Source organism: Homo sapiens, chromosome 3 (genome assembly GCF_000001405.40).
Source record: "Homo sapiens chromosome 3, GRCh38.p14 Primary Assembly".
Classification (NCBI taxonomy): domain Eukaryota; kingdom Metazoa; phylum Chordata; class Mammalia; order Primates; family Hominidae; genus Homo; species Homo sapiens.
Genome location: NC_000003.12, coordinates 47,108,553 through 47,136,011, shown reverse-complemented (window position 1 = coordinate 47,136,011; position 27,459 = coordinate 47,108,553). Strand labels below are relative to the sequence as shown.

At 39.4% G+C, this 27,459-nt stretch overlaps 1 protein-coding gene across 12 annotated transcripts in view, besides 2 other annotated features; it reads left to right on the top strand.

Moving 5' to 3' along the window:
• SETD2 (SET domain containing 2, histone lysine methyltransferase) overlaps positions 1-27,459 on the top strand; it is a 148,405-nt gene that overhangs the window by 28,829 nt on the left and 92,117 nt on the right. For 11 of the 12 annotated variants that reach the window (NR_146158.3, XR_007095673.1, XM_024453487.2 and 8 more), the window contains 4 exons: positions 9,349-9,364; positions 11,464-15,830; positions 19,258-19,389; positions 22,008-22,136. Coding sequence is in view for 6 of the 12 variants with exons in the window: in NM_014159.7 (NP_054878.5) it covers positions 9,349-9,364; positions 11,464-15,830; positions 19,258-19,389; positions 22,008-22,136 (4,644 nt within the window). In the remaining 6 variants the exon portion in view is untranslated. Of the gene's footprint in view, positions 1-9,348; positions 9,365-11,463; positions 15,831-19,257; positions 19,390-22,007; positions 22,137-27,459 lie in introns of those variants that run through there. The other variant, NM_001349370.3, reaches the window with a different exon arrangement.
• Positions 21,286-21,794: an enhancer, noted in NCBI's record as "OCT4-NANOG-H3K27ac-H3K4me1 hESC enhancer chr3:47155708-47156216 (GRCh37/hg19 assembly coordinates)". NCBI's record gives its function as "activates a minimal SCP1, AML or CMV promoter by ChIP-STARR-seq in naive H9 embryonic stem cells {active_cell/tissue: H9 hESC(naive)}" and the evidence as "EXISTENCE:reporter gene assay evidence [ECO:0000049][PMID:30033119]".
• Positions 21,795-22,302: an enhancer, noted in NCBI's record as "OCT4-NANOG-H3K27ac-H3K4me1 hESC enhancer chr3:47155200-47155707 (GRCh37/hg19 assembly coordinates)". NCBI's record gives its function as "activates a minimal SCP1, AML or CMV promoter by ChIP-STARR-seq in naive H9 embryonic stem cells {active_cell/tissue: H9 hESC(naive)}" and the evidence as "EXISTENCE:reporter gene assay evidence [ECO:0000049][PMID:30033119]".

Sequence of the window (27,459 nt, the reverse complement as noted above, 5' to 3'; positions counted from 1 at the left end):
TGAGATTAAGGAGGAGTAGCAGTGAGGGGAGGAGGAAAAACTGAAGAATGTGGTCTGTGAAAGCCTAGGAAAGAAATTGATCACTAGCTTTAAGATGCTGGTCTAGTAACTTACTAAAAGCTGTTTGGCTAATGAGAATGAATAGAGAGGAAAGAGAGAGAGACTGATGATAGAGGAGAGGAAATAAATAGAAAATGGAAGTCCTTGAGGCAAGAGGATAGGACACTGAGCAAAGTGGTGGGATCGTCAATTGAGAGTGGTCATGGAGATCATGGTGATAGAGATTTGGGGTAGGGGAATGTGTGAAATAGGCATCTAGGAGAGTAAGGGAACAGAGTGGCACAAGCCATAGAGTTAATAAATGGCAGGGATAGGATTCTGACCTAGGTATCAAGTTTGATTTTTTTTCTGTATTAAATTGCCACCCCTAGGCCAGGCGTGCCTGTACTGGCTCATGCCTGTAATCCCAACACTTGGGAGGCCAAGGCGGACAGATTGTTTGAGCTTAGGAGTTCTGAGACCAGCCTGGGCAACATGGTGAAACCCTGTCTCTACAAAAAATATAAAAATTAGCTGGACGTAAGTGGCGTGTGCCTCTAGTCCCAGCTACTCAGGAGGCTGAAGTGGGAGGACAGCTTGAGCCCGGGAGGCAGAGGTTGCAGTGAGCCAAGATTGTGCCACTGCCTCCAGCCTGGGTGACAGCCAGGTCCTGTCTCAAATTTAAAAAGCCACCCTAACAAGCAAAGTAATAAATACTAAAGGTGTGTTTTCATAGAGAATCAGAAAAATTGAGACCAGGTGAGCCCAAAAGTGAAGCTTAAAAGAAAGCACCTTACTGGCTTTTCTACTCATGGCAATTATTATTTGTTACCTTGTATTATAGTTATTTGATGTACCTCTGTGCCATGTTACTTCAAGTAAGTATGAAATTCCTGGTGGGGTAGAGACTGTGAACTGACATTTTGCCTTTACAGACCTAGCACTGCTTTTACAAGGTGGATCCTTAAATAATTATTGAACAAATAGCCTCTGATTGATATGAGAGGTGATATTTATAGTTAAGTGTTACCTTTCTAAAATGTCATTCAGGCCGGGTGTGGTGGTTTACACCTATAATCCCAGCACTTTGGGAGACCGAGGTGGGTTGATCACTAGAGGTCAGGAATTCAAGACCAGCCTGGCCGACATGGTGAAACCCTGTCTCTACTAAAAATACAAAAATCAGCCATGTGTGGCGGCACATGCCTATAATCCCAGCTACTCCAGTGGCTGAGGGAGGAGAATCACTTGGGAGGCGGAGATTGCAGTGAGCCAAGATCGTGCCATTGCACTCCAGTCTGGGCACCAGAGTGAGACTCTGTCTCAAAAAAAAAAAAAGTCATTGAGCAGTCCATCAGCATGGTTGTGTGCTACTGAGATACGTTCTGATGTAGTTTTCACATTTGCCATAAGCCCAGCTCACTCTTGGTAGTTAGCTAGGACATCCATTCCCTACCAAAACTCTAGCCTACAGAAGGATTGGCTCAGTGTGTTTAGAAGAGGTTTGCAAATGTGTATGACCATAGTCCAAGCAGAGAGCTAGGTAGGTGTGACCTTTTGTGATAAAAGTTTTAATTTTGAAGATTTCTGCCTGATGCATATTTCTAGATCAGTGAAGATTGGAGGAAGTTTAACTCTTGAATATATAACGCCATAGGTGCTTAAATGTATAAATGTCAAAACATGCATGACTTTAACTCATTCGTTCCAAACTTTTCCCCCCCACAACAGAGGCTTCCACCTGTACTTGCTGGGAAGCGGATCAAGGATTTAGAATCCTAAAATTAAAACAAAACATGAGGTATAGTGTAGGATGGGGCAGCAGGAGCAATGAAATTCCTGGTTTCCTAATGGTGAAGGTAATCACTTAGTAATTGAGAAGAGTTCCCTGCCAATATTTCTGTTTCTGTCTTGCTTTGGGCAGGGGACAACAAGCACCTTTCTTCTAGGAAGTTAAGGGTACTGCTATCCTACCTCTGGGCTAGGATATGTTAAAAGCAATATTATGAAATACTCTTTGATTTGTAATTGGTGGCTTCCTTTCTTTTGTTATCAGTTTTCCTGTCTTTGAGTTTTCTCTTCACAGTATCGTTACCCCTGTAATCTCATACTCCAGAGTCTAGTTTTTATGTAGCTTATTTTTATCAGTGCTTACCAGAATATAAATTTAGGAAGATTTGAGGTAATGTTTTTCCAGCTGAGGCTCTAGGATTTCCAAGGGTCCACATACTCTTTTTTTTGAGACAGGGTCTCACTCTGTGGCCCAGACTGGAGTACAGTGGCGTGATGTTGGCTCACTGCAACCTCTGCCTCCTGGGTTCAAGCGAATCTCATGCCTCAGCCTCCTGAGTAGCTGGGATTACAGGCATGTGCCACCACGCCTGGCTAATTTTTGTATTTTTAGTAGAGATGGGGTTTCACCATGTTGGCCAGGCTGGTCTCCAACTCCTGGACTCATGTGATCTGCCTGCCACAACCTCCCAAAGTGAACCACCACGCCTGGCCCACATATTCTTAAGGGTTGGGGGGGATTCTGTGAGAATTTTTAACAACTTTTCATATTTGATTATCTTTAAGTTTAAAAAATAATTACAGAATGGTTTAAAAAATAGAGATTTCCACTGGGTACAGTTGCTCATGCCTGTAATCCCAGCACTTTGGGAGGCTAAGGCGGGAGGATCGTTTGAGCTCAGGAGTTCGAGACCAACCTGGACCACATAGACCCCTGTCTCTACAAAAAATATGTATTAAAATATATTTTTTTAAAACACAGAGATTTCCTATATACCCTTCACCCAGATTCCCGAGATAAGAACATTTTACCACATTTGTTTTGTCATTCTTTGTTTATATACATATATGTATACATCATTACTTTTTTCCTGGAATGCTGGAAATTTGCAGACATGATGCCTCTTTACTCCTATATCCTCAAATATGTATTTCCTAAAAACAACATTACAATGATCAAATTCAGGAAATTAACACTGATACAATATTATTTTCTAACCTATAGACCTTAAAAATTATTTTGACAAGTTTTAAGTTTAAAATTCTCTGCAATGACAGTTTTCAAATGAAATAAATTTTAATAGGCTAATTTTTGTTTTCTGTCAGAAATCTTGAACTGTGATCTATTCTTATATGTCTGACAGTTTTTTTCTTTAAATGAGGCCTATACTACACTCAAGTGTAAGAAACACTGTATTTTAGTTTTAGTAAGAAATCTTTAGGTAGGAGTGAATTTTTGAAGTCTTTGCTTATTAAAATCAAGGTAAAGTAAAAAGCTATTTCTGATTTGTAGTTACGAAATTCAGTAGAAGGTCTGGAGTGAGACCTAGGACCTCACTTTTGGCTGTCCACCTTGAGGACAGGAATATTCTTTGTCTTATCTTAGTTAAGTTCTTATCCAGATTCTTAAACATTTTTGATGTCAAGGAATCTTAAGTGTCCTGTACAGTGACACATCTAGTTTTGTTTTTGTTTGAGACAGAGTCTCCCTCTATCTTCTAGGCTGGAGTGCAGTGGCACAATCTCTGCTCACTGTAACTTCCACCTCCTGGGCTCAAGGGATCCTCCTGCCTCAGCCTCCCAAGTAGCTGCGACTATAGGCATGTACCACCACACCTGGCTAGTTTTTGTAGTTTTGTAGTAGACTTTGTCTCAAAAAATATTAGCCCGGTGCAGTGGCTCACACCTGTAGTCCCAGCTACTCAGGAGGCTGAAGCAGAAAAATCACTTGAGTTTGGAAGGTTGAGGCATCAGTGAGCCAAGATTGCGCCACTGGACTCCAGCCTGGAAGACAGAATGAGATCCTGTCTCAAAAAAAAAAAAAAAAAAAGATATGTGTATGTTCATATATGCACACAAAGTTTTCGAATAAGAATATGCAAACTAGGCCAGGCACAGTGGCTCACGTCTGTAATCCCAGCACTTTGGGAGGCTGAGGTGGGCAGATCACGAGGTCAGGAGTTCAAGACCAGCCTGGCCAGCATGGTGAAACCCTGTCTCTACTAAAAATACAAAAATTAGCTGGGCACGGTGGCTCGCGCCTGTAGTCCCAGCTACTCGCGAGGCTGAGGCAGGAGAATTGCTTGAACCCAGGAGGTGGAGGTTGCAGTGAGCTGAGGTCACGCCTCTGTACTGCAGCCTGGGTGACAGAGTGAGACTCTGTCTCAAAAAATAAGTAAATTAAAAAAAAAAAAAAAGAATATGCAAACTTAACAATAGTTGCTCTGGGGAGAGTGATTTGTTTTTAGTTGTATATCTCTTTGTATTATAAAATTTCCCGCAGCTACATATAGTACTTTTTCAAATAAAGAAAATTAATTTGGCCAGGTGCAGTGGCTCACGCCTGTAATCCCAGCACTTTGGGAGGCCGAGGCAGGCGGATCACGAGGTCGAGATCGAGACCATCCTGGCTAACACGGTGAAGCCCCGTTTCTACTAAAAATGCAAAAAATTAGCCGGGTGTGGTGGTGGGCGCCTGTAGTCCCAGCTACTCGGGAGGCTGAGGCAGGAGAATGGCGTGAACCTGGGAGGCGGAGCTTGCAGTGAGCTGAGATCGCGCCACTGCACTCCAGCCTGGGCGACAGAGCGATACTCTGTCTCAAAGAAAAAAAATTAATTTAAAATGTACTAAAAATGAGCTAAAAGCTGTCATTCTGTAACTTCTATTTGTTGGTCACAGTTCTGACTTTCAGAATTGCACAAAATAAGATTATTTCATCTTCTAAACTTTCTGGTAGTTTGAAATAAACTACTATGGTCCTGTAAATCTTTTTTCTTCTAAGGTAGATAAAAATACTTCTATTTAGCTTTAACCATTTCTTGTGTGACATGGTATCCAGAATAGATTTCTTTACTATCCAACTTGTTTATATTTATTAATGCGCTTGATAGGGCCAAATTGCTCTCATTTATAGGGCTTCCCTTTGTAAACCTTACTTCTAATGTCCTAGCCTGAGAGATTGGTTGGTTGGTTTTTTTTAAGTCATGTCATTCTTTGGTTCCTTGAGCTTGCCATGACTAAAACTCTTAACTAAGTCTTTTTCTATATATACCATGTGACCTAATAGAGATTTATCTTCGTGTTGATATGGATTCTTTAAATATATAATTCCATCAGCAAGCTGCAGATTTGCCCACTTCACTATTTTTTTGACAGATAACTGGCTAACATATTCTTTTTTTTTTCTCTGTAGTAGTTTTTTGAAAGAAGAAATAGGCTATTCTAGCATGATCTCATCCTGTGGAGTTAAATACTTGTTTTCACATGCCTCCTTATTTTTTATGGTAGGGAGTACAGGAAGTTTAATACTCTTAACTTCTTGTTTCTATACCCTTGTTTCATCAACCTTTCTTCAAAAACTCTCTTCTTTGCTCTTGATATTATTTACCGAAACAAGTGTTCTTATGTTAAAAACATTTGTAGCTAATTCTTGCTGTTAATTGTGGTCTCACAATTGTATTAATTTCTTCAAAAAGGTCCTGCCTTCTTATTGCTGCAGCAGTCTACTCTTCCTGGCCGTACCTAGGTCTCCTACCCAAGAAGACTCTCCTGGAAATGTACTTCAACTCTAAAATAATACTCTGACCATAATTTCCAGTTCTTCCACCTTATTGACCCTTCTACCTCTCTTCCTGGTTTCCACCAAATCCACTCTTTAAAGCCCCCAATATCTTGTCCCTACCCTATTGAGTTTATGAGCTTCCTTCAGATTTCACTCCCTGTCTATTATCTAGGGATCTTTAGGTCAGTTATTTTAATATTTTTGAGAAATCAGTTCTCTCAACTTCTTGCCTTCTACCCCTCTTGTCCCGCCAATCTTGCTGGATTAATTCACTAGCTGTTACCTCTGATGGCTTAATCCCTTCAACAAAAATAGAATAAGTATGCTAATGAGCTCAATTATAAATTGGTAATGTCCAACTTTGGGCAGCAACATTGAGGATTACAGTCTACTTCCACTTCTGTTGCCTAACGCTTGAATTTTCTTTGTCTTTTACCCTGTCTCTTCCCCCAGCTTTCAACTAATTATGTCAGAAAAGTAGAGACCAATTTTTTCTTTTCTTTTTTCTTTTTTTTTTTTTTGAGGCGGAGTCTCATTCTGTCGCCCAGGCTAGAGTGCAATGGCGTGATCTCACTGCAACCTCCGCTTCCCGGTTCAAGCGATTCTCCTGCCTCAGCCTCCCAAGTAGCTGGGATTACAGGCACTTGCCATCATGCCTGGCTAATTTTTGTATTTTTGTAGAGATGGGGTTTCCCCACGTTGGGCAGGGTGGTCTTGAACTCCTAACCTCAGGTGATCCACCCGCCTTGACCTCCCAAAGTGCTGGGATTACAGGCGTGAGCCACTGCGCCCAGCCTGTATCTCCTTCTCTTGAGATCACTTCCTCAATCTAATTTGGTGATTCCATACTTTTTCTGTGATCTAAACAACTTGTCTGCTCACCAGCTCTATCATGAGGGAGGGAAGCAAGATACAGAATGGCTTGTATGTTTTTAAAAAGAAAAACAATGATCTCTGTTTAAAAACCACACTCAAGTGCATGCACAAACGAGTGCAGAAAGCTCTGTAGATCAAAGTGTTAACAGTAGTTGTCTCTGGAAAGTTGGATTGTGGACTTTTCTTTTGCTTGTTTGTAATTTGATTTTTATCTATTAACACTAAATGCTTTTAATGATGAGAAAATTTCCCTCCAAATTTCTGATTGTGCTTATATTCTTTTATTATAAACATTTTATTTTATCAAGTTCTGGGAAATGTCATTTCTTTTCTTTTCTTTTTTAAACACTTCCCCCTCCTGTCTTGTCATTTCTGTCAAACAATTCTTTGATTTCTAAAATGGACCTTCATTATGCCCCCTTCCCTCCCAACTCCACAAATTTACAATATAACCTGAGCCTATTTTCATCATATTTTGTCAGGATTATTCTTTTCATCTGCCTGTCCAAAATAGAACTGCTGAGGCTTAAGAAAGTGTTCTGGTCACTTTTGTATTTCTAGCATTTCGTATGTGTGCGTACTATGCAGATAAGCCTTGGTTGGACATCTCCTGGTACCTTCTGTCTTGAAAAAATTTCAAATGGTACTAATTTAAATCAAATTGAATATACCATAGGTTCTAATATGCCATCGATTGTAAGAAAATGATTATTTTATGAACGTTGAGACGTGAAAAAAATTTTCAGTTAAAACTATTATACCATTGATAGCATGCATCCTGTGGGCAAAATGTACATCATAGAATTGATGAAGTACAGTAGTGCTAACATCACATTTATGAGGTTTTTAGTGGTTTTGGAGTAGAAAAAAATGGTTAATTTTGGCACTGCTTCAGATCTCATTCATGTATTATCAGCTTACTGCCCCCTCTCCCCCTGTCATTACTTGGTTTTGTATGGCTACCACAGACACTGGCGAATGGAATGAATTATGATGAAGTTAGGCCTACATTTGGGGAAAAGGGTTTTATATGTTTCCTTTCAGGAACATTGAAAACAGATTGTTGTATTCCAGTCTTGCCACATAGTCCAATGAGTGACTAGCTGAAAATACAAATCTCGCTGTCATGTCCTTTTGTAGCTTCCTTTTCTCCAAGTAGACAGTCCCTCAGTATGCGTTGGTGTGCTAGTGTACACTAGACTTGTGGCTTTTGATTGCTCTTAGTCAGTGTGGTTACCTTTGTTAGAACATAACCCAGAGAGCTGCGCATTGTGTTATGGAGCAGATGCACTGTAATGTGGAATAGTCTTGCCTTTGGAACTGTTGAACAGATACCAAAAACGATTGAGAAGCATTGATCCATAAGATGAAATATGATTCTTCTCATGAGAAACCTGACCACTGCCTCCTACTCCATCTTATTGTTGGCTTCTTTCTGCCTTACACCTTATATTCAGGTAATATTGAACTGTTTATAGATACTTTACACATATTATTCTATGTTATTTTGTGTGTGTGTGTGTGTGTGTGAGAGAGAGAGACAGGTTTTCACTCAGTTGCTCAGACTGGAGTGCAGTGGCATGATCTTGGCTCAGTGCAATTTCTGTCTCCCAGGCTCAAGCAATCCTCCCAACTTAGCCTTCCTTTTAAAAATTATTTTTCATTTTTTGAGATGGAGTTTTGCTCTTGTTGCCCAGGCTGGAGTGCAATGGCACGACTTTGGCTCACTGCAACCTCCACCTCCCGGGTTCAAGTGATTCTCAGCCTCCCGAGTAGCTGGGATTACAGGCACGCACCACCATGCTCGGCTAATTTTGTATTTTTAGTAGAGATGGGGTTTCACCATGTTGGCCAGGCTGGTCTCGAGCTCCTGACCTCAGGTGGTCTGCCCACCTCGGCCTCCCAAAGTGCTGGGATTACAGGCGTGAGCCACCGCACCTGGCCTAAAAATTATTTTTAAGAGAGATGAGGTTTTGCTATGTTACCCAGGGTGGTCTCGAACTCCTGAACTCAAGTGATCCTCCCAATTTAGCCTCTTAAAGTGTTGGGATTACAAGTGTGGGCCACTACACCCAGCCTTATTTTATGTGTTAATCTCTGACTCTGCCTGGGATCTTCTCACAAATGTATTCTTCAAAAACGAATCGTCTCTTCAGGATTTTTTTTTTTTTTTTAAAGACAGCCATCACCACAGCTGGAGTGCAGTGGTGTGATCATGGCTACCTGCAGCCTCGACCTCCTGGGCTCAGGTGATCCTCCCACCTCAGCCTCCCAGGTAGCTGGGACTATAAGTGCACGCCACCATGTCTGGCTATTTTTTTGTATTTTTTATAGAGACAGGGTTTCACCATGTTGCCCAGTGTAGTCTCAATCCCCTGGGCTCAAGCCATCAGCCGGCCTCAGCCTCCCAAAGTGCTGGGATTACAGGTGTGAACCACCACACCTAGGCAGGAAAAATTCTTTGCATTCCTATTTTCCCACTAAACTGAGTTGCTTATCGTCCTCTTTGCTGCCTTACTATATATATTTCTATTCTTATATTTACTCCATTATGTTGGTATTACTTTTGTTACAAATTTCTTTTTTGTGACTTACAGGAAGCTGAGCTTTTTGAGGGCAGGGATGCTGCTTTATTCAAATTTGGTCTCCAGCCCTTAGCACAGTATGTGACACTATCTTGAGTAAATATTTGTTAAACTAAATGTAACTGAGTGTGAAGGAATGGACAATCCATATAGAATATACCTGTAGGTAGTAAGTATCCCAAGTTTTAATACAAATAACTATTATTTCAATCGTTTTTAAGTATTTATGATTTCTTTTTATTCTTTTGCATGTTTTCTTGGCTGAATGGAAATAGAGAAGAAGAAAATGAGGTAAGTATAATTTAACTAGTCATTCAATGATTATGAGATGGACCACTAAACACATTTTAGAAATTGGGTAAAAGCTGAAAACACTCAAAATGTAGCTATCATTTTGAATGTGAAATGAAGTAATAGTTTTTAATTTTGTTTTTAGAGCCATGGTAACTTATCCCAGTGAGGGATGTTGTGTATCTCAGAAAAATGGTTTTTAAACTTTAGAGCTTCAAGAGATTTAGGAAAGGTAGAGAAAGTTGGAAGTTCTAAAAATATCTTTTACTTGTTTTTTATGTATTGAGCTTCCATTTAAGATTTAACTTGAAAAGTGGATTCTGTTTCTTAAAAGTATTTGGCTCATGCCTGTAATCCCAGCACTTTGGGAAGCTGAGGCAGGTGGATCACTTGAGGTCAGGAGTTTGAGACCAGCCTGGCCAACATGGTGAAACCCCATCTCTACTAAAAATAAGAAAATTAGGCAGACATGGTGGCTTAGTCCCAGCTACTCAGGAGACTGAGGCAGGAGAATTGCTTGAGCTGGGGAGGAGGAGGTTGCAGTGAGCCAAGATGGTGCCCCTGCACTTCAGCCTGGGCAACAGAGCAAGACTCTGTCTCAAAAAAATAAAGTATTTGGAATTCACTGCTCCATGATAATATATGTGAAAGTATTTACTTTCCAACTTGAATGACTACTATGTAATTTTGAAAACTGATTTCAGATTTTACTGTGTTGAAAGGGAAGTTACTCTCTTAAATAGCCAAAGTGGATTAAAGAACATTAATTAGAAGAATTTTGCATATGAGAAGTATACCACCATCTTTAATTTAGGATTGAGTTTGTTGCTGTAGATTTTTCTGATGCTCTTTGTACAACCTACGTTATGCCTTGAACTTCCAAGGCTAACCATTTCCTTTGGTGATTTGGCAAACATGGAAGAAAAGTAGTCTTCTTAGGTTTATACTTTGTAACTGTTGCTTATACAGCAGTATTATTACTTGAGGGTGGGGGGCCCAGGCAGAGACAGTGATATGTGCCAAGGCAGAGTACTCTCCAGGAAGGCAGAAGGCCTGGTCCTCATTTGGTTACCTCATCTGTAAAACAAGTAAGGTGGGAAGTTCCTCTGTATCAGTGGTTTCCCAAACCTGGGACATTGATTAGAATTGCCTATGTAATGCTTTTTTGTTTGTTTGTTTTTTTTAAAAACCAAAACCTCAAAACACCCCAAAAAACAAACCCTTTCCTCATCTTAGAGCTCAATAGCTCGTTGATATTTGATATTTCCTAGAGTGTGGATCACAGATGAGTATGTTTTTTTTTTTAATTTTTAAATTTTTTATTTTTTTGAGACAGAGGCTCGCTCTGTTGCCCAGGTTGGAGTTCTGTGGTGCCATCTTGGCTCACTGCAACCTCTGCCTCCGGGGTTCCAGTGATTCTCCCACCTCAGCCTCCCAAGTAGCTGGGGTTACAGGTGCATGCTGCCACACCCTGCTAATTTTTGTATTTTTAGTAGAGATGGGTTTTCATTATGTTGGCCAGGCTGGTCTCGAACTCCTGACCTCAAGTGATCCTCCCGCCTCGGCCTCCCAAGGTGCTGGGATTACAGGTGTGAGCCACTGTGCTCGACCCAGATGAGTATTTTTACTGTGCACTCCATGTGATGCCAGGAGACCACTGGTCTTGATGACCTCTGATTTTTCATCTCTGATAGAACACAAGAACAAACCATATTGAGTACTGAGATGTTAGATATTGCCCTTTATACAAATGTCTTTCAAACATATGTCAGGTTTTTAAAAAATTCTTTTTAAAAAATGCTACCTGGAAAATAGTTATAAAACTGAAAAAAGTTATTTATGTACGAGAAAGTAAGAATGGGGAAAATAGGTAATTGTTGAAGCTTGGAGTGGATACTTAGGGATTTATTATACCATTTTCTATACTTTTGACTGTGTTTGAAAATTTTCATAATAAAGATATATATAGCTTAGTGAAATTCATACTATTTGTTATTAAAAAGGGCTTTTCATTTCTCCAGTAAACATTTTAAACTGTGCAGTCCATTTGAAAGTAACTATTTATTGTAGTAGTAATTGCTTATTTTGTTCATTTGTAGGCAAAGATTGAAAATGTGCAGAAAACAGGTTTCATCAAAGGACCAATGTTCAAAGGTGTTGCTTCTAGTCGATTTTTGCCCAAAGGCACCAAAACAAAAGTTAATTTGGAAGAACAGGGACGACAGAAGGTGTCATTCAGCTTCAGCCTTACAAAGAAAACTTTGCAGAATAGGTTTCTCACTGCACTTGGCAATGAAAAGCAAAGTGATACTCCAAACCCTCCAGCTGTACCTCTTCAGGTAGACTCGACTCCTAAAATGAAAATGGAAATTGGTGATACCTTATCTACTGCAGAAGAATCTTCCCCACCAAAGTCAAGGGTGGAATTGGGCAAAATTCATTTTAAGAAACATCTGCTTCATGTAACATCCAGGCCACTGCTGGCTACTACCACAGCAGTAGCATCTCCACCTACTCATGCAGCACCATTACCAGCAGTGATAGCAGAATCAACAACTGTAGACTCACCGCCCTCATCTCCGCCTCCACCGCCTCCACCTGCCCAAGCCACAACACTCTCATCACCAGCACCAGTAACAGAGCCAGTGGCCTTGCCACATACACCAATAACAGTTCTAATGGCAGCACCAGTACCCTTACCAGTAGATGTAGCAGTTAGATCTCTGAAAGAACCACCAATTATAATTGTACCAGAATCTTTAGAAGCAGATACTAAGCAGGACACTATATCTAATAGTTTAGAAGAACACGTAACTCAAATATTGAATGAGCAAGCAGATATTTCCTCAAAAAAAGAAGATTCCCATATTGGGAAGGATGAAGAAATTCCAGATAGTTCTAAGATTAGTCTGAGCTGTAAAAAAACAGGTTCTAAGAAGAAATCCTCACAATCTGAAGGCATCTTTCTTGGTTCAGAATCTGATGAAGATTCTGTACGGACTTCTTCAAGTCAAAGATCACATGATTTAAAATTTTCAGCAAGCATTGAAAAGGAAAGAGATTTTAAAAAGAGCTCAGCACCTTTAAAAAGTGAGGATCTAGGGAAACCTTCACGATCTAAAACAGACAGAGATGATAAATATTTTAGCTATTCAAAACTTGAAAGAGATACTCGGTATGTATCTTCCCGATGTAGATCAGAAAGAGAGCGACGGCGGAGCAGATCTCACTCTAGGTCTGAGAGAGGCTCTAGAACTAATTTATCCTATTCCAGGTCAGAACGATCTCATTATTATGACTCTGATCGTCGCTACCATAGGAGCTCCCCTTATCGAGAGAGGACGCGCTATTCTCGGCCATACACAGATAACAGAGCACGAGAGAGTTCTGACTCAGAAGAAGAGTATAAGAAGACATACTCAAGGCGTACCTCATCTCATTCCTCTTCTTACAGAGACCTAAGGACATCATCCTATTCTAAATCTGATCGGGACTGTAAAACTGAGACCTCTTACTTAGAGATGGAAAGAAGAGGCAAGTATTCTTCAAAACTAGAAAGAGAATCTAAAAGGACTTCAGAAAATGAAGCAATTAAAAGATGTTGTTCTCCCCCTAATGAACTGGGATTCCGACGAGGGTCATCATATTCTAAGCATGACAGTAGTGCTTCCCGTTATAAATCTACCCTTTCAAAACCTATACCCAAGTCTGATAAATTTAAAAATTCTTTCTGTTGTACAGAATTAAATGAAGAAATCAAACAGTCTCATTCTTTTAGTTTACAGACACCTTGTTCAAAAGGTAGTGAATTAAGAATGATTAATAAAAATCCTGAAAGAGAAAAGGCTGGGTCTCCAGCTCCATCAAATCGATTAAATGATTCACCTACTTTAAAAAAGCTAGATGAATTGCCTATTTTTAAGTCCGAATTTATAACACATGATAGCCATGATAGTATTAAGGAATTAGACTCTTTATCTAAAGTGAAGAATGATCAATTAAGAAGTTTTTGTCCCATAGAATTAAATATAAATGGATCTCCTGGGGCAGAATCTGATTTGGCAACATTTTGCACTTCTAAAACTGATGCTGTTTTAATGACTTCTGATGATAGTGTGACTGGATCGGAATTATCCCCTTTGGTCAAAGCATGCATGCTTTCATCAAATGGATTTCAGAATATTAGTAGGTGCAAAGAAAAAGACTTGGATGATACCTGCATGCTGCATAAGAAGTCAGAAAGCCCATTTAGAGAAACAGAACCTCTGGTGTCACCACACCAAGATAAACTCATGTCTATGCCAGTTATGACTGTGGATTATTCCAAAACAGTAGTTAAAGAACCAGTTGATACGAGGGTTTCTTGCTGCAAAACCAAAGATTCAGACATATACTGTACTTTGAACGATAGCAACCCTTCTTTGTGTAACTCTGAAGCTGAAAATATTGAGCCTTCAGTTATGAAGATTTCTTCAAATAGCTTTATGAATGTGCATTTGGAATCAAAACCAGTTATATGTGATAGTAGAAATTTGACAGATCACTCAAAATTTGCATGTGAAGAATATAAGCAGAGCATCGGTAGCACTAGTTCAGCTTCTGTTAATCATTTTGATGATTTATATCAACCTATTGGGAGTTCAGGTATTGCTTCATCTCTTCAGAGTCTTCCACCAGGAATAAAGGTGGACAGTCTAACTCTCTTGAAATGCGGAGAGAACACATCTCCAGTTCTGGATGCAGTGCTAAAGAGTAAAAAAAGTTCAGAGTTTTTAAAGCATGCAGGGAAAGAAACAATAGTAGAAGTAGGTAGTGACCTTCCTGATTCAGGAAAGGGATTTGCTTCCAGGGAGAACAGGCGTAATAATGGGTTATCTGGGAAATGTTTGCAAGAGGCTCAAGAAGAAGGGAATTCCATATTGCCTGAAAGAAGAGGAAGACCAGAAATCTCTTTAGATGAAAGAGGAGAAGGAGGACATGTGCATACTTCTGATGACTCAGAAGTTGTATTTTCTTCTTGTGATTTGAATTTAACCATGGAAGACAGTGATGGTGTAACTTATGCATTAAAGTGTGACAGTAGTGGTCATGCCCCAGAAATTGTGTCTACAGTTCATGAAGATTATTCTGGCTCTTCTGAAAGTTCAAATGATGAAAGTGATTCAGAAGATACAGATTCGGATGATAGCAGTATTCCAAGAAACCGTCTCCAGTCTGTTGTGGTTGTGCCAAAGAATTCTACTTTGCCCATGGAAGAAACAAGTCCTTGTTCTTCTCGGAGCAGTCAAAGTTATAGACACTATTCTGACCATTGGGAAGATGAGAGATTGGAGTCAAGGAGACATTTGTATGAGGAAAAATTTGAAAGTATAGCAAGTAAAGCCTGTCCTCAAACTGATAAGTTTTTCCTTCATAAAGGAACAGAGAAGAATCCGGAAATTTCTTTTACACAGTCCAGTAGAAAACAAATAGATAATCGCCTGCCTGAACTTTCTCATCCTCAGAGTGATGGGGTTGATAGTACAAGTCATACAGATGTGAAATCTGACCCTCTGGGTCACCCAAATTCAGAGGAAACCGTGAAAGCCAAAATACCTTCTAGGCAGCAAGAAGAGCTGCCAATTTATTCTTCTGATTTTGAAGATGTCCCAAATAAGTCTTGGCAACAGACCACTTTCCAAAACAGGCCAGATAGTAGACTGGGAAAAACAGAATTGAGTTTTTCTTCCTCTTGTGAGATACCACATGTGGATGGCTTGCACTCATCAGAAGAGCTCAGAAACTTAGGTTGGGACTTCTCTCAAGAAAAGCCTTCTACCACGTATCAGCAACCTGACAGTAGCTATGGAGCTTGTGGTGGACACAAGTATCAGCAAAATGCAGAACAGTATGGTGGGACACGTGATTACTGGCAAGGCAATGGTTACTGGGATCCAAGATCAGGTAGACCTCCTGGAACTGGGGTTGTGTATGATCGAACTCAAGGACAAGTACCAGATTCCCTAACAGATGATCGTGAAGAAGAGGAGAATTGGGATCAACAGGATGGATCCCATTTTTCAGACCAGTCCGATAAATTTCTTCTATCCCTTCAGAAAGACAAGGGGTCAGTGCAAGCACCTGAAATAAGCAGCAATTCCATTAAGGACACTTTAGCTGTGAATGAAAAGAAAGATTTTTCAAAAAACTTAGAAAAAAATGATATCAAAGATAGAGGGCCTCTTAAAAAAAGGAGGCAGGAAATAGAGAGTGATTCTGAAAGTGATGGTGAGCTTCAGGACAGAAAGAAAGTTAGAGTGGAGGTAGAGCAGGGAGAGACATCAGTGCCCCCAGGTTCAGCACTGGTTGGGCCCTCCTGTGTCATGGATGACTTCAGGGACCCACAGCGATGGAAGGAATGTGCCAAGCAAGGGAAAATGCCATGTTACTTTGATCTTATTGAAGAAAATGTTTATTTAACAGAAAGGTAAGTCTAATTAATACTTGTTTGACAAATTTTAACTCTTTTTTTGTTGTTAGAAAAAGCCTTTAAACAATTCAGACTGTATGAGATTAAACACATGAAAGAGTTGTGGGATAAAGTAAATTTAAAAGTCTAAAAAAGTGTTTTTACCTATTTAGATTTGATAGTATAGATTCCTTTCCCCATTCCCCCCGCCGCCCCATCCCCAGGAAAGGAGATGTCTATTTTTTTCTTTCATTACTTGTTTGGTTTTCAAGGTACAATTTAGGCTAGCCCAGTATTTCTGTAATTCCTTTTACATGTGAAAGTCTGACCAAAAAAACAGAATAAAACCCCAGCAAAATAATCTGTACTTAGAGAAGAAAAAAGTGGTTACTTTGGATTTTATTTTCAAAAATGTGCAGAATGAAGTATCTTTGGGTACTGTATTAGTCCGTTTTCATGCTGCTGATAAAGACATACCCGAGACTGGGAAGAAAAAGAGGTTTAATTGGACTTGCAGTTCCACATGGCTGGGGAGGCCTCAGAATTGCGGCAGGAGGCAAAAGGCACTTCTTACATGGTGGTGGCAAGAGAAAAAGAGGAAGAAGCAAAAGTGAAAACCCTTGATAAACCCATCAGATCTTGTGTGACTTAATCACCATCACAAGAATAACACGAGAAAGGCCGGCCCCCATGATTCAGTTACCTCCTCAAGTTGAGTTTGGGTGGGGAAACAGCCAAACCATATCAGGTACTTATAAAGTTAGAACTAGACTAGAACATAATTTTCTTCTCTCATTTTTTTTTAGACTATTGTTAATAGATTAAATCTGGCAATAGTGTAATAAATATTTTAGAAATGATAAAGTGGTTTATCAAAAAATCCCTAACATGAAACAAATTATAATGAGAATAAGAGTAATGAAAACATAGTCCTCTAGAGCAGGGCTTCTCAGTCTGTTTTAACTTTAACCCCTCCTTGATAATTTTCTCATTTTCCTGATGTAAATTTATATTGATTGTGCTTAAAAAACCAAAACAAAAAGTATCCTGCCCCCTTACTCTCCTTTTTTGGAAGTTTTCCTGCTAGTTGAGAATCAACCTAGCCATTGTATCTTTAAGGATCAAAATGTTATTAAATCAAATTTTCCTCTGTGTATAAGGTAAAAGACTTAATTTTAAAGGTAGGTCCTACCAGAAATTTTTTTCTATTACAAAATAACCTTTTAACAGAGAGCCTTTTACAGCTATTTTCATTTATATCTAGTTATAAATTAAGTTTACATTTAAAATATTCAATATTTTAAGTAGTACCCTTTAGGAATTGTGTGAGTAGACTAATGGAACTTACAAGATCTTTGTAAAAGAATATAAATAAAACTAATCAGTCCAATTCTCTGACTTTTCTTTAGCATTGAGAATCAGATATATATATATAAAACTGTGCACATAGATTTGGTTAGTGGAGGCATAAGAGGGCTTCCACCACTTTGCAGTGGGAAGGATTTATATATATTTAACTTTTTTTTTTTTTTTTTGAGACAGAGTCTCACTTTGTCTCCCAGGGTGGAGTGCAGTGGCGTGATCTCAGCTCACTGCAACCTCTGCCGGGTGCCACCACGCCCAGCTAATTTTTGTATTTTTAGTAGAGATGGGTTTCACCATGTTGGCCAGGCTGGTCTCGAACTCCTGACCTCAGGTGATCCGCCCGTCTCAGCCTCCCAAAGTACTGGGATTACAGGCGTGAGCTACCACGCCTGGCCTATATATTCAAAATTTTGAAGTGCCTGTTATATGCTAGGCATTTAGGAGCCACTAAGAAGACAAACTCTTATAAAAAATAATATGAATATAATGAAAACATTTTTCTTATGTTTAATGGAAAAGGGCTTACCTGCCAAAATCTATGCCCATTCGTCCTATTCCAGCCTTCTAGAGCAATACAAAATAAAGCTGCTGCTGATTCTTCAAAATTGTAGCTAAGTACTTCTAAATAGATAATTTCGTTTAGTCATCTTCAGGCTAAGCATATTCATATACTCATTAACGAATTGTGTCTTTAATCAAGAGGAATCATTCTTTTCACCTAAACTTAGTTAAAACTATCATAACACTCTTGAGGCACTTCATAAAATTGGCACTAGAATAGAACATATGTTGAAGATCAAAGCAGATTAGAGGTAGGAGATTAGATAACCATTTAGAGCAGCTATGCTGTTTCCTGTTTGATAGTCAAAGAGTGAGTTATAGTTCTTATAGTTCCCTAATCTTAAACATAACAGATCTTTTTTGACCATCTTTGGTTGTTTTGTTTTGTTTTTAGACCAGGGTAAAAGACTAGTTCATCAGCAAAAAGGCCAATAAATAATCACATTTTCACTTTTGCTTTGCACACTCTGGCATGGCTTATTATGAACGCAATCAAATTTTAGCAGTTTATGTTCTTCTCCAAAATAAATCTGTCTGCATGGAGAAAGTTGAGCCCTCTTAAACATTTACCTGATTATTCTGTAATTACACTTCATTTAAAAAATTCAGTCTGCTTTTAAACAAAATTTATGCAGATGTGATGTTACTGAAAGATTCTCTAAAATATTGGATTGAGTTAGAACTCACTCTTATTTTTTTAGAAACCCCTTTTCTCCCTCAATCTTATATCTCAACTATTATTTGCTCATCCATGAGGTCTGATTCTTAAACTTAACTTTAACCAGCTATGTCACTATTTGAAATGCATGAGTTTTCCTATTTTTCCTAGAACCTAGTATGACTTTAACACTTGAAACTGTTCTGAATCCAAGGCTTAGCTGACCTGGAGTAGGAAATAAGGGCTGAGTTCCAGAATGAGTAGTCTTGAACTCATCTCATCTTCCCCATTTGCCAAGGTTAAGGTTGCCCTTCTCATGTTTTTTTTTTTGTTTGTTTTTTTTTTTTTTTTTTTGGTAATGCAGGTCTTAGGATTTTCAGTCTCACAAGTACTAATAATTAGATGTTTTATTTTGAATGGTTGACTTACAGGAATCATTAAATGTGAATCTAGCCAGGCGTAGTGGATCATGCCTGCGATTGCAGCACTTTGGGAAGTGGAGGCAGGGGAATTTCTTGAGCCCAGGAGTTCAAGACCAGCTTGAGTAACATAGAGAGACCCTGTCTCTACAGAATATTAAAGAACAAACAAACAACAACAATAACAAAAACCAAGCGTGGTGGCATGAGCTGTGGTCCCAGCTATTCAGGAGGTGGAAGTGGGAGGGTCATTTGAATCCAGGAGGTTGAGGCTGCAGTGAGCCATGATCGCATCACTGCACCCTGGCCTGGGTGACAGAACAAGACCCTGTTTAAAAAAACCCAAAAGAATCTAATGAGATTTGGCACATATTTGATTATATATGTTATATCTTTACCAGGAAATTTATTTAATCAGTTTTTATGAAATTTTACCCAATAGAAAGAAGAATAAATCTCATCGAGATATTAAGCGAATGCAGTGTGAGTGTACACCTCTTTCTAAAGATGAAAGAGCTCAAGGTGAAATAGCATGTGGGGAAGATTGTCTTAATCGTCTTCTCATGATTGAATGGTAAGTAAATTAGAATACTCGGCTTTTGCTCAACACTTCTATTAAATGTCTCTAAATATTGAATTATCAATGAAGAATAAAATTTAACCTTTCTCCTACCTATGGATGACTACAAGCAAAAAAGTATAGTAGACACTTTGATGTATAGTAGAAAACATATTAATAGGGAAACAAATATCCCTTGCATTGTGCATTAGATTACAGTACCCACCATGTTTTAAGTGCTTGGTAAAGTAGTCCTATAATATTAATTTCTATTCAGTACTTTTTTATCTTTTATAATATTTATGTCCTAGAGGTAAATGTTGGTATTTTTTAGCTTTCACTATAAAGTGAAATAAAACCCTAACATTTCAGAAATGCATAAAGTGAATGTCTTCTCCCAAACATCAGTCCCATTGTTTTGTCATTTTTCCAGAAAACTTTTAATGCCTATGCTAGCATAGGTAGATGTTTTCCTCTTTTTATGTATACAGATAAAATCTTATTCTATATACTTGCTTGGATTTGCTAATCAGACCTAATCAGAGCTCTGTGTACAGACCTGCCTAAATCTTTCTCTTGACTGCATTATGTATTCTATTCATAGTTAGCCGGTAATTAGTCTGTTGACAGACATTTGCTTCTGTATTGTTCTTATAAATAGTAAATATCTTTACATTAAAAAATTTAATTTTGGCCAGGCGTAGTGGCTCATGCCTGTAATCCCAGCTATTTGGGAGGCTGAGGCGGGCAGATCACTTGAGGCCAGGAGTTTAGGATCAGCCTGGCCAACATGGTGAAACCCCATCTCTACTAAAAAATACAAAAATTAGCCAGGCATGATGACACACACCTGTAATCCCAGCTACTCTGGAGGCTGAGGCAGGAGAAGCACTTGAACCCAGGAGGTGGAGCTTGCAGTGAGCTGTCATTCCACTATACTCCAGCCTGGGTGACAGAGCGAGATGTTGTCTCAAAAAAATTTTTTTAACCAATCTGATTGATGAAAAATATATTCTTGTCTTTTACATGGAAAGAGTATACCTTATTTTTGATGTTAGTGAAGGTTTTTTTTCCCCAAAGCTCAGTTTTTGGTTTTGCTCATGTTATAGTGTTGCAAAAATAAAATATATATACCTTGAAAAAATAAAGAGAAAGGATTTTTGGTATTCTTTTATCCAAACTAGAGAGAGAGATGACAGTACAGATGTAAGAAGAGAAGACATAGAGTTAGCATTATTCTAACTTCATATTGTTGCCCTAGTCATTCTTCTGGGTTTTCCTGCCAACCTTGTGAAGCATACATGAAGAAAAATATTTCTTCATATTATTCACACACTTAAGCTTTTGGTAGTTCTCGGTTGTTCTCATGATTAGGTTCAAACTTAGCCTTGTATTCAGAGCCCTTGGTAGCATATCATCAGCCTGTCTTTTCATCCTCCAGCAACTCACCTTTCTTATCAGTTATCTTTAGTTGTTTCATTTCTCTTTGTCCAAACAGGGATTGTTTTCCTATTTCTGCACACAGACAGGGACAGTTGTATCTCCAGCTTTCTTTATGCATATCCTATGTATCATTAGAGATTCTGCCTTAAATTCTCTTCCCTCCTGAAAGCTTTCCTTTATACTGCCTCACTCTAGAGCAAATCCTTCATCCTTTGACCATTGCTAAAAATGTTATTTGCTGCTGGGTGGGCAATAAATAATAATATATTCAAAATGATTGGTAATTTCCAGTGGTCTTTTTTTTTTTTTTTTTTTTTTGAGACAGTCTCCCTCTGTCGCCCAGGCTAGAGTGCAGTGGCACAATCTTGACTCACTACAACCTCTGCCTCCTGGGTTCAAACAATTCTCCTGCCTCAGCCTCCCAAGTAGCTGGGATTACAGGCGTGCACCATCATGCCCGGCTAATTTTTGTATTTTTCAGAGAGACAGGATTTCACTATGTTGGCGAGGGTGGTCTTGAATTCCTGACCTCAAGTGATCCACCTGCCTTGGCCTCCCAAAGTGCTGGGATTACAGGCATGAATCACCGTACTCAGCCCCCTCTGGTGTAGTTTTAATCATCGTTAAAACCTTTATATCTATCACATATTAAGAAGTCAATCAGTGTTCGATTTTATCATTTTTACTCTAGGATCCATGGGAGAAGAGCCATGCCATGTTATTCTGTTTACTCTGAACAAGGATATATTTAATAATGACTTTAGATTTTCTCAATTGTAGATCAAGTAGTTAGCTGCATTCAAAAAATGAAATTAAAAGTGATTAGAGTAGAAGGAAGGGAAGGTGCACTTACAGAATATAAGTTCTGCAGAGTTGTCAATGTACTGAAAGCTTACATGCAGCCTGAAAATGTATTCTAGACACCTAGGGAGTGGTAGATATTTCTGTGATGACCAGATATCAAGGCTGTATTGTGGGTATGATCTGTTTAAGTAACAATGTAGATACTCAGTTCTAAGGAATCCCTTTGTGATGGAAGGAAAGGAAGACTTAGTTGGGGGTTAGTCATACATATGCTAATTATACCATAAAAGTATGTATATATGTAGTTATACTAACACATTTTTTCAAAGTTACTTTGGTTCTTTTGCTGCTTTAAAGAATTAAATTTCCTCCTTTTCTCATTTCAGTTCTTCTCGGTGTCCAAATGGGGATTATTGTTCCAATAGACGGTTTCAGAGAAAACAGCATGCAGATGTGGAAGTCATACTCACAGAAAAGAAAGGCTGGGGCTTGAGAGCTGCCAAAGACCTTCCTTCGTAAGTTCTTTTTTAATTACCTTTCACTTCCTTTTTTGAGACAAGGTCTCACTCTTTCACCCAGACTGGAGTGCAGTGGCACGATCTTGGCTCACTGGAACCTCTACCTCCCGGATTCAAGCAATTCTCCTGCCTTAGCCTCTCAAGTAGCTGGAACTACAGGCTCATGCCACCATGCCCAGCTAATTTTTTTTGTATTTTTTTGGTAGAGACGTTGTTTCACCATGTTGGCCAGGCTGGTTTCGAACTCTGACCGCAAGTTTTCCGCCCACCTTGGCATCCCAAAGTGCTGGGATTACAGGTGTGAGCCGTCGCGCCTGGGCTTCACTTCATTTTTGTGTTGTTGAACTTAGATGTTTTTGTAGGGAAACAATTTCTTTATTACACTGAGGTTTAATGATGATTATTATGTAGAATGACCACTTGGTAGCTAGTTTGTTGTTAAAAAATCTTTTTTTCTTTTTTGGTAATTATGTTTTCTTTAATTCCAAGCAACTACCAAGTGTTTACTGTGGACCCCCAGAATCTCTATGAAGCTATATAAAAAGAAGTTGGGACAGAATCCATTAGTATACATAAAATTGAGTTGGGATAAGAGTAGAAGAGAAGGCCAGGTGCAGTGGCTCATGCTTGTAATCTCAGCGCTATGGGAAGCTAAGTGGGAGGACTGCTTGAGCCTGGGAGTTCAAGGTTACAGTGAGCTGTGATCACGCCACTGCATTCTAGCCTGGATGGCAGTGATCTCTTGTCTCTTAAAGAAAAAAAAAAAGAGTAGAAGAGAATACCTGAGCATATCAAGGTTAAGAATTAAAACATACTTGATAGATAATCATTAAACATTTCTTGAATGAATAAATGTTGCTTTCCATGTAACTGATGTAAGTTTTTAATGTAATACAGCAAAAGGTTCACTTTATTTTCTACCATATTCAGTATTTCCTGGAAATGTTTAATTTTCTTATATATAGCATATTTAAAGTATTCTTGGCCGGGCATGGTGACTCATGCTTGTAATCCCAGCACTTTGGGAAGCCAAGGTGAGTGGATCACCTGAAGTCGGGAGTTCGAGACCAGCCTGGCCAACATGGCGAAACCCCGTCTCTACTAAAAATACAAAAATTAGATGGGTGTGGTGGCGCACGCCTATAATCCCAGCTACCTGGGAGGCTGAGGTAGGAGAATCGCTTGAACTTGGGAGGTGGAGGTTGCAGTGAGCCGAGATCATGCCACTGCCCTCTAGCCTGGGAGACAGAGCAAGACTCCATCTCGAAAACAAACAAAAAACCCAAAATTACGCTGGACGTGGTGGTTCACGCCTGTAATCCCAGCACTTTGGGAGGCCGAGGTGGGCAGATCACCTGAGGTCAGGAGTTCAAGACCAGCCTGGCCAATGTGGTGAAACCCTGTCACTACTAAAAATACAAAAATTAGCTGGATGTGGTGGCAGGCACCAATAATCCCAGTTACTTGAGGGGCTGAGGCAGGAGAATCTCTTGAACCGGGGAAGCGAAGGTTGCAGTGAGCCGAGATTGCGCCATTGTACTCCATCCTGGGTGACAAGAGTGAAACTCTGTCTCAAAAAACAAAACAAAAATTAGCCAGGCATGATGGCGCACAGCTGTAATCCCAGCTACTCGGGAGGCTGAGGCAGAAGAATTTGCTTGAACCCACGAGGAGGAGGTTGCAGTGAGCCGAGATCATGGCACTGCATTCCAGCCTGGGGGACAGAGCGAGACTGTCTCCAAAAAAAAAAAAAAAAAGTATTCTTAATGAAGGTCAAGTGCCTCTTTGAAGTTAAATATAAACAGATTACATGTGTTTATGGTTGAAACATTTAAAAAATATATAAAAGAAAAAATGGAAGGAAATAAAACATTTGCTGGATTCTAGTAACTTAGACATAACTATTCTTTCAGAACCCTCTGAGCATATGGCCACAGTTGGATGGGAGTTGGAGTTGGGGCAGGACTTGGTGGGGTTTAATCTGTTTATTGTGGGAATTCAAAACACAGGTAATAAAGACAATAATTTTTTTTTCTCACTGTTTTCCCCTTGGCAATAATTTAGTTTTATGACAGGAATCCTCATATATCTTTTGATAAGCAAATTGTTCTTTTTTTTTTTTTCCTTTGAAGATAAGAAATGATGTTGATATTAATCTATCCTTTTGGGAACCAATCAGAAAGCAACATGTTTTGTTACACAAAAAGGGGGCTAGTAGGAACCTCATAGATTTCTCTTCTCCTCTAAGTTTTGTAAAAACACACCCTGGCTCATAACTGGTTTTTATTGTTTTTTATTTTTTTGAGACAGGGTCTTGCCCTGTCACCCTCGCTGGAGTATCCTGGCGCAATCATAGCTCACTGCAGTGTCGACCTCCCAGGCTCAATTTATCCTCCTGCCTCAGCCTTCTGAGTAGCTGAGACTATAAGTGTGAGCCAGTATGCCCAGCTACTTTATTTTTCTATTTTTTGTAGAGATGGGGTCCTCACTATGTTGCCTAGGCTTCTCATAACTGGTTTTTAATTGTTTATTTGAAGCAAATATCCCACAGAATTGTCATATGCCCCATATCCATTCATTGGATTCTTTATAATATTTTAAACAAATAATTGGTTACACTTCCTTTGAACACTGTTGATACAGAACTCAATACCTCTCAAAGCAGCCCATTGAATTTCCAAAATCACTAGTTCTAGTCCAGACGCACATTTTCAAAGATGCCTTCTTTCATTCTGCCCTAGCCAGCCAGGCCTTCTTGAGATTTTTTTTTTTTTTTTTTTTTTTTTTTTTTTTAAAGGAACCACAGTTTGGACACAAGCCTCTCTTACAGGGACAATAGTGGATGAGCTGTCTGGATGCTGGTCTTTTGTGGTATCTGCAGTAAAACACATAGCTTCAAACCTGATCTAAATTCTGTTACTTGCAACAGACACTCTTTGATAGCTCAGTGCTCTTCTCATATTAAGGGGAAAGGAGACTGGGGAAGGGAGGAAAGGATATATGGCTCCAGTTTATAAGCCAGGTTAAAATTTCCTAAAGCTCTTCCGTTTTCTTCAGCTATTCACAGAGAACCCTGCTTTGGTAAAATATACTAGGACTTAATGTTTCCATGTTTCCCATACCTTCCTACTCCTATAACTGCCACATGATGATGTGTAATACCAATAGTTTATGAATTTCATAAACTAGTCAAAACTCTTGCGTTGTTTACTGGTAGAGTATTACCATTTAATAAGGACAGATTGTCAGAGCTACACAGGATGAGAAATTATTTGGAGCTAAGTTACTAGTTAGTGTTAAAGTGCCATGGCAGACCCCACCAAAAAAGCAGGTTATTACCAAAACCCCTGTAGTTTTAGGAAATCTCCCAGTTGTAGGAAGAGAAGGCAGTCCAGGTTGACTTAATGTAATTGGATACCAGATAGGGTTTTAATTGAGGTAAAATTCACATAATATAATATTGACCATTTTAAAGTTTACAATTCAGTACCATTTAGTGCATTCATAATCTTGTGCAACTGCCACTTTTGTCTGTGTCCAAAACATTTTCATCATCTGAAAAGGGAACTAACTCTGCCTGTTAAGCAGAATCTTCTCATACCTGCCTCCTCCCAGGCCTGGCAGCCACTAATTTGCTGTCTGTTTCTGTGGGTTGATCTATTCTCGGTATTTCGTATAAATGAAATTATACAATATGTGGCCTTTTGTGTCTGGCTTCTTTCACTTAGCATTATGTTTTTGAGGTTTCATCTGTATTGCAGCATGTGTCAGCACTTAATTCCTATTTATGGCTGAATAATACTCTCTTGTATGGGTATACGATATTTTGTATATCCTTTTGTTAGTTGATGGACATTTGGGCAAATGAGGCTTTTTTTTTTTTTTTTGAGATGGAGTCTTGCTCTGTCACTCAGGCTGGAGCACAGTGGCACGATCACGGCTCACTGCAACCTCTGCTTCCCGGGTTCAAGTGATTCTCCTGCCTCAGCCTCCTGAGTAGCTGGGATTACAGGTGTGCGCCACCATGCCCAGCTAATTTTTCTATTTTTAGTAGAGAGGGGGTTTCACCATGTTGGCCCAGCTGGTCTCGAACTCCTGACTACAGGTGATCCGCCTGGCTTGGCTTCCCAAAGTGCTGTAATTACAGGGGTAAGCCACCGTGGCTGGCCGAAATGAGGCTTTTTTAGAAGCCATCTTTCCCCTCCACATTTTTTTGTTGTTTTCCGACACAGGGTCTCACTGTGTTGCCCAGGCTTGAATGCAGTGGCGCGATCACAGCTTACTGCTGCCTCAACCTCCTGGGCTCAGGTGATCCCCCAACCTTAGCCTCCTCAGTAGCTGGGACTACAGGTGTACACTACCATACTCTGCTAATTTTTTTGTATTTTTAGTAGAGACAGGGTTTTGCCGTGTTGCCCAGGTTGGTCTCGAACTCCTAAGCTCCAGTGATCCTCTCACCTTGGCTTTCCAAAGTTCTGGTATTACAGGCGTGAGCCACCACCCCTGGCCCGTTTTATTAATAAAAAGTTTCAAACTTACAGAAAAGTTGAAAGAGTTGAACAGTTAGTGTCCATGTAAGCACCACTTAGGTTTTATAGTTATTAACATTTTGTTCTGTTTGCTTTATTTTACATTCTCTGTCTGCCCGTCTCTTTTTTATCTATCAGTCTTTTTTTGATGAAGCTTAAAGGGAGTTGCAGACGTTACCCTTAACCCCTAAACCTTCCATAGCTTTGCAGTGACAGTGACAATTTCTGTCCCCACCCACCTGCCATAGTAGAGCCCTGTTGCCCTGAACAGGCTTTAAGGAGAAGGAGTTCAATGAAGTGACCCTATTCAGCCAGGAGCAAATTTCAGGCTTAGAAAAAGATTAATAAGAATCATAAGAATCACACTTCTCATTGCCTTTGCCTTCATGGGATTTAGTCACTGCATGCCAGGCAATATGATGTTTTCTGCTTTGTTTTTGTTTTTATTTTGGTTTTTAATTGAGACACGTAGCTTCTCTAAGAAACCTAAATCTTAGAGTTTTAAGGACTGCATGATAGACTTTTACACTGGCCTCATTTAGTTTTTTGGAGGTCAGGCAGCTGGAGGGTCTAGCCACTCTTCCTACATTCCCCAAATTCCTGAGGACTTTGAGATGCTTCTCTCAGCTGCTTCCTCAAGCTCAAACTGTTAGATCCATGTGTGTTGGTATATCCTTCCAACTTCCTGATGTGGGGTCTCTACTCTGAGTGATTTACTGGCTGGTCAGGCTCTGATATTTAAGAACTTTTTCTAAATAAGGTGATTTGAGAGTAATATCATTAGAATTGAA